This window comes from Homo sapiens, chromosome 5 (genome assembly GCF_000001405.40).
Source record: "Homo sapiens chromosome 5, GRCh38.p14 Primary Assembly".
NCBI classification, from domain to species: Eukaryota; Metazoa; Chordata; class Mammalia; order Primates; family Hominidae; genus Homo; species Homo sapiens.
The window spans coordinates 78,473,990-78,485,229 of record NC_000005.10 but is presented as its reverse complement, the minus strand read 5'-3'; the positions used below and the strand labels follow the sequence as shown (position 1 = coordinate 78,485,229).

At 34.7% G+C, this 11,240-nt stretch overlaps 1 protein-coding gene across 4 annotated transcripts in view; it reads right to left on the bottom strand.

The window, feature by feature from the left end:
- Positions 1–4,490: 4,490 nt before the first annotated feature.
- Positions 4,491–11,240, bottom strand: part of SCAMP1 (secretory carrier membrane protein 1) — a 120,123-nt gene continuing 113,373 nt past the window's right edge. For all 4 annotated transcript variants that reach the window (NR_110885.2, NM_004866.6, XM_011543727.4 and 1 more), the window contains one exon: positions 4,491–9,726. Coding sequence is in view for 3 of the 4 variants with exons in the window: in NM_004866.6 (NP_004857.4) it covers positions 9,562–9,726 (165 nt within the window). In the remaining variant the exon portion in view is untranslated. The remainder of the gene's footprint in view (positions 9,727–11,240) is intronic.

Genomic DNA, 11,240 nt, shown 5'->3' with positions numbered 1-11,240 from the left:
TTCTTATTCTTTCAAGTCTGAGTATACTGGCTTCAATATGATGTGTATAATCTGATCAAGAAAATACCTATCAATCAGTCAACATTTATTTTAAACACTAACTTACATGTAATATTGATGAATGGAAAAAAGATATTCAGGTATTTTAAACTATCCCATTCACTAGTAACATATATGTCCCTACCCTGGGCTATCTTTCTTTAACGTCAAGTATGTATTTCTTCCTTGAAGAAGCATCAACACAATTGTAAATAGGAAAAAACATCTCAAGTATTGTAAACATATATTTTAAAGTAAAGCTATGAAATATGAAAATGCTCCGAAGTATTAAAAAGGGATTTTCAAACATAAATATGTAACAATGACAAGGGGAAAAGTTAACTGAAAGACACATCCTCCTCTTCCAACAACATCCCTAAAAATAAAAGCCAATGATACGGTGCCATTCCACATCCATGTTTCCTGAAGGTAATCCTGGCCATATAAACCCTCATCCAGAAGAGGTGGAATTCTAATTTATAAACTCAAGAATGACACTAAATGCCCTTCTCAACTCTCAACTCTCTGTATCCCATGAAGCATTTATTATTTCATACCAAAAAAAGGCAGTTTCTTCCCCTGATCTAGGGCCTATGACAGTTGAAATTAGATTCATGTTTTGGTTTCTAATAAAAGCTGACAAAGTTACCCATATCAGTTTAAAAAAACCACACACAGTTTTCCAAATAATCATGATTTGAATAACCCAAGAAAAATTAGAAAATTTCCATTGCTTTTTCAGCTGTTATTGTATTCCCCAAAAGTTAATCCACACAGAGAATGGACCCTGGTTGAATTTTAGCAGAAGCTGGGGAATCCTCCCATGTGCTTCCCCCGCTTCCCATCCTTAGTTGTTATCTAGCAATTCTGCTACTAGGTCCACTTTCCACACTGATCTTTCTGGAACATGCTGCATTCAAATTACACCTACACCCCCTTAAAGTTTTTGCTTAACCAAACAACCACTTACAACGGTCCTTACTAACGTGGATATTTTATGTGGATATTATTTCAGTAGTTTCAAACAATCTTTTTCAACTCTCAAACAATGAAGGGTAGGGTATCAAAGCAAACTTTACTCTTCAAAGCAGTAAGAACCAATAACTTTATTTCAGAGGCCCTCACTAGCAGCTGAGTCATTTGGCAGAGCCATCCCACTGCTCCCCCTACTACTATCTTCTTCCTTGCAACTTCCTCTCCTTACCCTGAACAGTTGTGCAAGATAAGTCTTGCAGACAAGAACTGCCAATTTTACTAAGGTACACAGGACACAGATAAAAGCACACAAAAAGAGGAAGTAGTGAAACCAAAACCACATGGGAAAGAAAAGTCAATCAAGTAACACATTGCTATTAGCAGCTTTTTAGCTTTTTCTAGCCAAACATCCTGAAAAATTGAACACCTACAGGTAGGCAGTCCAAATGCCTATGTTTAGGGGAAACCACTATGATTTTATTCACAAGAGACGAAAGCCTGAATTAAGGCAGTGATGGTAAAGGACAGTCAATGGGATGAATTCTATGTTAGGGAAAAAGAATGGGCAGGTGACTGATCAGAAGTGGAGAGGAAGGAGAGGAAAGAGTCTAGGATGACAGCCAGGTATTTAGCGTAGACACTGAGTGGAAGGTGATGTGATCACCAAGATGAAGACTCCAGAAGAAGCAGGGACAATGAAGGTGAGGAGGTTCAGCTTAGGCTGCCAATGTAGAAGTCCTGTGTGCAGCTAGGACTATACTAAGGAGAGAGAGAGATTTGGGAGTCATCAATACACCTGAGAGATGGTAAGTGTCCTTAGTTATTGTGCAACTTCTATGGGCAGATACTATGCTAAATACTTCATAAAATTCATTTATTCATCAAAATCCTATGAGATAGAAACTGTTACTATTGTTTTACAGATAACTGTCACTTAAATAACTGAGGTTAAATAATGTATCCCAGGTTAGAAAGCTAATAAGCGGAAAAGCCAAAGCTCAGATACATGTTTGACACCAAAGGCAACTCACTCAAACTGCTATGTTGTTTCCTTCTACCTGGAATGCACAAGGTGGGAAGGCAGCCAATGCAAACTCCTGGGCAATATCTCTACATTGTAAACACTTAGAATAACTTCCAAATAAAACTCCAAAAGGGCCTCACCATCACAACTGATGAAAACACTGCTTCTTCCTCCCTTTCAGAGAAAACACCTAGTGATTTTTCATAATTTTGAAGATGACACCATATGTCTCAATTTATCAATCATGATTTAGCTCAATCCTGAAAACAGACACAAGAAATTCATTAAGTATGTGACAGTGGGAAAATAAATGATAGGCTTTGACAGTTTTTATTGTTTTCTTAGTATAAATAATCTCTCATTCAGGGTAAGCAACTATTATAATCACATAAGAAGCATATTTAACCTAATAATAAGGATTTGTCCTCGACTAAAGTTTCTCCAAACACACAAACGCCAAAGACCCTTTAGTAAATTTACACTGCTGAAGAATGGGCAGCAGGTACTCACCTTTAGGTGGCAGGTGTTAGCATTTGGTCTGGAGACTTCAAAAATATATGTAAAAATTTTTTTTGTTGATTTTTTTTCTAGTATCTGTTGTCCCTAAAGGATGGACATGAATGACTGGAAATGTGGAAGGATGAAAGGGAAGACAACTGGAACGAGGCGGCATGGTGGGGCAGCCACGCTTGGCAGGAGTCAGGGGACCTGCCTGTTCTCATCATCCCTCTCCAGCCCTTCACCACCACCACTCACTGAGTGACCTTGGGGTAATTTCCTAGAACTCTACAAAAACAGAGCCAACAACAGAAATTATATCACAAGTTTGGTATGAAAATTAAGTGATGTATATAAAGCATTTAGTACAGAACACTGGTATATAATTAAGCCCACAATAAGCTATTATTAGAAAAAAACTAAGAAAATACTACCCACCCAGACTAATATCATTTTAAAATTACATTCTATGAAAGGTAACATAACTTGTCGAAACCAGTGTAATTTTACCTGGAGAGACTCAGTGGATTGGCTACCTGAGGCCACCATTTCTTTTTCCATCCTGTTATAACAGAGCATTCAGCTAATTATCTTTACCTTAGAGCTTTCAGGAAGCAGAAGATTTCTCAGTGGATGCAGGGTACTCAGTTACTCCTATTTAGCAAAAACAAAAACAAACAAACAAACCGGTAGCATTGGGTGAGCACATAAGCCATGTGAAACCAGAATGCTCAGAAAAGAAACCTGATTTGTCAAAATCTATTGGGATAAAAGACTTTTTAGAAAAGGAACATCCAATGCTGGCCAAGGATGTGAAGAAAGAGGCCTTTCCGTACATTGCTGATGGAGTTACATATGGATAAAATTTTTCTGGAGAGCAACTTGGCAAAGCACATGAAAGGTGCTTTAAAAACTATGCATAATACCCTTTAACTCAGCAATCTGTCCTAAAGAAAAAACAAAAGCCCGAGTCCCCAAATTTAGCAACAATATATTCCTTGATAAATTATTTATAACTTTAAAACCCTGAAAATCAGAACCTAAAGGAATAACAAGACTTTATGATACATACATATGATGTTAGCTATATAGCTATACTAAATGTTACAGAAATATATTCAGAGATATTAAAATCTTCAATACATATTTATATCATAACTGAAATAAGATAAACTGTTGTGTTAAGATCCTCCAGTTAAAAGTAATAAGAAACCAATTCAAGATAGTTGAGGGAGAAAAAGCGGTAAGATTATGAGGATAATGGGATAAGGGTGAGAAGTAGGGCTCCATAAAGGAAAAGGAAAGCCACTAAGATCTTTTCTATGTCATTCATTTTACATCTCCTGTTATGTCTGTTTCATTCTTCATTTTCATTGCAGACCAGCTTTCTTGGTGATTCCTTCCTCATGGCAGAAAATGGCTACCTCTTATGTTCCAATTCTGGAACAGTAGAGTTCTAGACATATCTACATTCAGAATAAAAAACTGATAAGCCAGGAATGAGTCCACTATGGCCAGATGACATCCAGTACCAATGTGGACTTTAAGGACCCAAAGAAGTGGGGCTTTTGAGGAGTAGGTAGACATCCCTAAAGGATGTACAAGGATGTACGGGGTCATCTCATTTTTAATATTAGGAAGTTGTCTTCCTAGAAAAATAGAAAGATATAAACCAGATTTTAATAGAAGTTATTCATGGATGTAAAATTATGAGAATTTTGGTTATTTCTTTTGCTTATATTTTCTATAATTTATACTGAAATATACATTAATTTTATAAATTAAAAAAGTTAATTTAAAAAACTAAACTATTGCGCCATTATGACATAAAGCTAAGTGAGGGGAAAATAAGGTTTTTAAAAATCCATATTGCTTATATCTCTTAACTAAACAAAACACATATGCATAGAAAAAGAATGGAAGACAATAAAATATTAGCAGAGGTACCCCAAGATGACAGAATTAAGGATTTATTTTTATTTTCTCATGTATCACTTTCTGAATTTTTAATTGTTCTACAACACATTATGTATTGCTTTTATACTAGAAAAAAAGTGTGAGGGATGCATAGGCCCAGTGGGTTCAGTTTTTGTGCAGGAGACTAGAATACTGTAGATACCACAGTGATCACCAGATAAAAGACACTGATTTTTGGTGTTTTCCCCCATCCCCAAAATACCTGAATACTACTACAAACTGCCAACAGTAACAACTACTACAATCATGATTTATCTTGAGAATCACTGGCATACAAAATATTAAAAGTTGTGGAGGAATTCTAGAATTACATTTAAGTAAGCACTGAAAATAACTAGAATTTAAAAATAAAACTTGTATGGTATTATTCTACAAACTAGAACTGTTTTAATGTATAGAAGATAATATTCACAGTAATCTTATATTACTAGGTGGATGATTAACTATTTTCTGCTCCTATTACAGAAAAGATTAAATGGCTTTTAGTGTTAGGAGGGTTTCAGCTACACCATCAGCCATGTCAAGCCCAGAAAGATATGAACTGAAAAATAAATCAGGATTTGGACAAACACAAAGTTTAACACTCACTACATTGCCACATGATAGTTCCCATGTTCCCTTGCCATTTGAAACACGGCCAGCACTAATGAAAATTCTTTTTTTTTTTTCTTGAGATGGAGTCTCGCTCTGTCGCCCAGGCTGGAGTGCAGTGGAGAGATCTCGGCTCACTGCAAGCTCCGCCTCCCAGGTTCACGTCATTCTCCTGCCTCAGCCTCCCAAGTAGCTGGGACTACAGGCGCCCGCCACCATGCTCAGCTAATTTTTTTTTTGTATTTTTAGTAGAGATGGGGTTTCACCATGTTAGCCAGGATGGTTTCGATCTCCTGACCTCGTGATCCGCCCACCTTGGCCTCCCAAAGTGCTGGGATTACAGGCGTGAGCCACCACACCTGGCCAAAATCCTATACATTAAATGTTTGTCTTACCCAAACCCCAAAGTTAAATTGTAAATATAAAACCCACAGCGGGGGTGAGAAAACTGGAGAACAGTCTTTCTCTATTTTCCTACAATCTTCAAATAAGAGGTATCTGCTTATATAAGACAGGTTAGTGGCAATACCTGGCTTAGAAAGTTTCTAGATTTATTTCTAGCTCTCTACATACTGTGATAAAGTCCTAAAGTTTAAAAATACCCACCAATATTACAGGCATGCTGCTTTATAAAATATGCCCTAAAATTCTAGCCAAAATACTTCACTTTCTGTAATACTTAATATGTGAGATAAAACTTTTTAGCTCAATAAAAAAGTATTTAAAACAACTCATGTTTTAAACACATTAGTCTACTCTAAATAAATGTATACTATTGTACTTTAAAATGTATCAAAGTAAGGTGTTTTCTATTTTTTAACCATCCTCAATTTTTTTAAAATTAACCAATCTTATTTCATCTCTAAAGGGCTTAATCACATGAAATGAACAAATTCCTCTAAACATTTTCCTTAAGGAAAAACTGAAAGGAGATATAGTGAAATGGTATATGACAGCCATGGTAACTCTAAGGTATACATAAGCAGGGGAAAAAATGCTCAAAATGTAACAAATTCTGTATATAAACAGTCATGCCAAACACAGATTTGTACCAATAAGGATACTGAATTAGATGTTAACAACAGTGTTTTCAGAAAAAGATACAGCAATGAGTAAAAAGCACTATGCTATTACAAATGATTTACAGAAACAACTAATTAACCTAACATAAATCCCCTTAAAATGCAAACCATACATAATCTTAACATGAATTACAGAATAAAATATTTTCCTAGTAAATTAGGTGTAAAAATCCAAACTTGCTTTTTTAAATATAACACCCAGAAAATAAAGAATACTGTTCCTTTTTTAACATGTATTTCTCAAAATAAGATTCACCATGAACATTATTTTAGATATTTTTACATCTTCTTTAGCTAACCAAGTGAAAAATCCAATATACACAAATAGGTACTTTCATCAGTACATAAAACAGCAATAGGTAGCAAGGATAGAAATCAGAATACAAGTTCAATTGAATAAATACAATACTAGTACAGAGACACCCATTTTTAACCCACAATGAAAAATCTGAGCCATGAATAGGTTTTCCATTTTGAATCTAACTTCTAGATGATCTGTATTTTGACCTTAAAGGGGCCAAAATATTTAATATGGGTGAAGCTCATGTTCCATTACCTGTAAAGGTCTAATGCAACAGAAAAATGGTCATTTTACATTGGTTAGAATTTTTAACTAGGTCTTTCATATTATTTTGTTTAGCACATGACAGACTTATACACATATTTTAAAAAATCAAACATGGAATTTCTATATACATCAAACCTTTAACAATGTCTGTCTCTGAATTGCTATTATAGTGTTCAAAATTATACAAACAAACATCCAGTAAACAGCATTTTATTTTATGACACTCTGTGTTAATACAATAAATATACAAAACTTCCAACCCACTGAAACATGCAACATTAGAGGGACACATGGAGGGCATTTCTGTAGAACCATGACAGTCACCATGATGGCAGCGCAGTATTAGTTACTGACAAAATATACAAACATCTCTAGATAAATAATCCAAGTCCCAAATTACAAATCACTGAGTAATGACTTTCCGGTGTTCAAACTTTAGTTTGAAATAAAATTGCCATAATTTAATATTACAAAATGATAAATGACACGGATGACTGCTGTGTGAAGACCATTTTATGACTATGATTTCATGACTGTGATTTTAGTACTAAATATAGAACACTTAACAAATGCCAATCTTTTGCTGAGTGAAAATTTAACAATTTACTGAGAGAAAAGTAAATATAAGAATTTAAAGTTCCTTTCATACTTGATCATACTATAAGCATTGCCATCATTTCAATGCACATATATTTTTAAAAAACAATTTTCTCTCTCAAACTCATATTAAATAACTGGATTTTAAAACATTTTCCCCATCCACACAAAAAAAGATATGTGGGTTCTAATTATTCTTTGCTATTTAATAATGCTACCTTTGAAGATTTCTACATAATATAAACATTCCAATTCTGAAGCAAAGTATTTCAGCATTTTTCAAAAGTCTCTAATATATCTTTTGTTTGTAGTGTACAGGAAAAAATGGACTTGGGATATAAGTTAATGGTGAATATAGGTGCACTTGCTGTATTTTGTGGTTAATGTTTTGAATGTATGCAAAATCCACACTCAATAAAGCACACTGATAAAATAGATTTCCAATAAGACTACAGGCTCTGAAAAACAAACTGGCTAAGTTGGTTGAGAACATAGGTAGAAATTATCGCTGATTAGAAATATTTACAAAAAATAGCTTTAAATTCATACGCTGAAGAATAAAAGAAATGTCTTCCAAGTATACCTGATGTCAATAAGATCCCAAATAAATCAAATGTAAACACCATCTGGATGGATCTGTGTTACCTAGTGACATGCAGCGCTGCTTCATGGATAGTGAAAACTTGGCATCCCACCTCTAGCATAAAACTTTTTCTGTAACTACAGGTTTGGGGAGAATGAAAGTGATTTAACTATTTATGCCTATCTGATTTTTTAAAAAATAAGGATTTCCAGCCTCTAATATCACAATCCTTACTTAAAATCTAATTGAATAATCACTATCATTCTGCAATCTTAATTTAGTTAAAGACTTTCAAAACACAGCAGCATGACTTACAGATGTCTTTGAGTCATTTATTTAATCAGTGGTAAAATTGATTCAAAGGTTGAACCCAAGAATACTATAAGAATGAAGTTCTGTGCTGCATAGTAACAATTTTAACGTGATTATCTTAATGCAGTTAACTGTATTTATATTTTCTTGCTTGGTGCAAGTTAAATGCTTTTTTTTTTATTGCTGGAAATTTTAGATATATTCAGTCTGTCTCAAAAAGTGAAAGACAGGTGCATTTAGGGATTCAAGTATGTGAAAAAATGCCAGGGTCTTTTTATGTTTAATGCCACTGGAGATGAAAAGCTAAAAGGAAAATCCCTTAAATACTGTACAATCTTTTTAGACAACAGTTAGGCTAGCCTTTAATACCTCTGTTAAAAATCACACACACACATCCCCAAAAAAGAGCTGCCAGACACAATCTTAGTTGTAACCACAGAATATACCAAAGTTTTCATATAGCAAAATGTTACTATATGACTACCGAAATTTTTTTAAAAAGGAATTATTACCACTACTTTCTACTGCATTAACTACCTTCTCTTTTGGATAATGTACTGCATATTATATAAACTTCTTATATTGCACCCCCAAACTTTTTATTTAAAAGAAATTCTTGCAGAATATCATTTCTGTGATTCCATTAACCCCTGAATCCTACAACCATAAGCAGTACAGAAGCCAAAACACTAATTCTTTTAATATAAGAAATGTGGTGCCCATGCAAATTAGAGATTGTTATCAAAATATCAGCTATTCTAAAAAAAAGAAAAGAAAAAGATGACAAATTTTACATTATCTACTACAAAATGCACATAGGCTCTTCACTGGTGACTGAAACAGCTAAAAAGCAAGCCAATTTAAAATCCCTAAGTCTCTGCTGGCCTATTTCTTTCAATATAAATAGGGAAAAAGGAATGAAACATGGTTTACTTTTCCAATGTGCAATCCTTATCTCTAAAGATTCTTGAAAGAACTACTGCAGTTAGTATTAAATGCGTTTTTAATCATAAGTACCATTATTAATTTTCAGTGGGTCACCACTGAAATAATTCACTGAATGTCATCCCCCAAAAATATGGAGAATATTTATTTAGCATGTAATATTTTTTCTGCAAGGGGCACTGAAATATTAAGAAACTATTAGGTAAAGTAATAAGACAAGGAAGTTTTCCTGGTTTTAGCCCATGCACAAGTGAACAGGAAATATCCATGCTGTCTGTACTGTGTGTTTTGAACATAAAAATATTTGTAGAATACAGTAACTGGAGAAAAAGGTACAGTCAAAAGGTAACAGTGTATTGTTTGAAGATTCTTAAATCTGGTTACCCTTGAAAGCATTCTGAGCTGCACTAGATGCTGCAGTTGAAGCTGCATTTGCAGCTGCGGTCTGGACAGTTTTGTTGGACATCACACCTGTTGCAAACTCCTGTTGGGCCTTCTCAAAACTAGCACCTGTTGTGCGATATAGTCCATGTACCTACAGAGGCACAAAAAAGTGGGAGAAGGTAAGTAGCAACCTACGCATTCATTTCCAGCAGCTCTTAATCTCAACATTAATCAAACATAAAAATACTAGATTGTAGTCATGATTCCTAAGATCAAGAATATTAGCCACCAAACTGACACACAATAATTGTATTTAAACATTTTCTTAATATAGGTTTTCCTTTTCTTCTCCAAGCAGAAGAGATAATTATGCTAATTTAAACCAAAAATAAAGAACTTCTTAGCCAACTTCAAAAAGTTGTATTTTCCTCTGCACCCAATTAGTCAAGTGAAATTATTACAGCATTACAATGAAATGGTTTAAACATAATAACAAGAAACAATACATTAATTTATTACCCCAGACTATTCAGAGAGAACAGTACCTTATCTATTTCCATTTTATCTACATATACACCACAGGCCCTGTTATAATCAAATGAGATCATTTTATCATTTAATGTACCAAGCACTACTTATGTCCTTCAACATATTGCCGCTATGCACTCTGTATACAATTTAACTTTTTGTGTATGGTCAAGTCCTAAAGAATGCACAAAGAAACACTTCTGGGAATTGTTTCTCCATACTGATTAATCACTCAAATCTTGGAATTTATTTTCAGGAGTAGGGTTCAAAAATTTTCTATCAGTATATGTCTTAAAACCTGCATAATTAAACTATGAGTCCATCAATACATAACATCAGCCACTTATTTTAACACAAATTTGAAGAAGGAAATAACAAACATTTATTAATTATATGCCCACAAACTTCGCAGAGTGGGGACAGAAAGATACTGGTAATTACACTGCACTGTGACTGGATCTAAATTAGAAGCTTGACTGGAATGCAATCAAAGCAGGCTTAGGGAAGGGCCAATGCATCCAAGTCAGTATTTTTTCCAAACCTGGATAGGAACTGGTAACTGTGAGGTAAGAAAAAGAATGAGTCAAAGATTCTCAAAGCAAGCTTGCATTTGGGAAAGTAGTTTCAAGAAGACAGAGAAAAGAGAGGATAGGCTGGTTTGGGGAGAAGGCAGATGATAAGTTCTAAACATTTGTTCATTCATTCCAACTCTACTGACAACCTACTCTAGGCCTGCCACAGCAGGCAGGTAAAGGTTTGGTTCAAAGCTTGGGAGAGGAATGGGCTAAAGACATGGACTTGGAAACCAACGGCATATGTTATGGACTGAATGTTTGTGTTCCCCCCAAAATTCTTATGTTAAAATCCCAACCACCAATATGATGGTATTAGCAGGCAGGCCTTTTCGGGGGTGATTTTGCCATGAAGGTGAAGCTTGCATTAATGGAATAAATGCCCTTATAAAAGAGACCCCCAAGGCCCAGTGTGGTGGCACACACCTATGGTCCCAGCCTTCCACTCCAACCTGGGCAATATACGTCTCCAAAAAGAACTTTTTTTTTTTTTTAAAGAGACTCCAGAGATCTCTCTGACAACCTTCCATCACAAAAGGACACAGAAACTGTCTATGAACCAGGA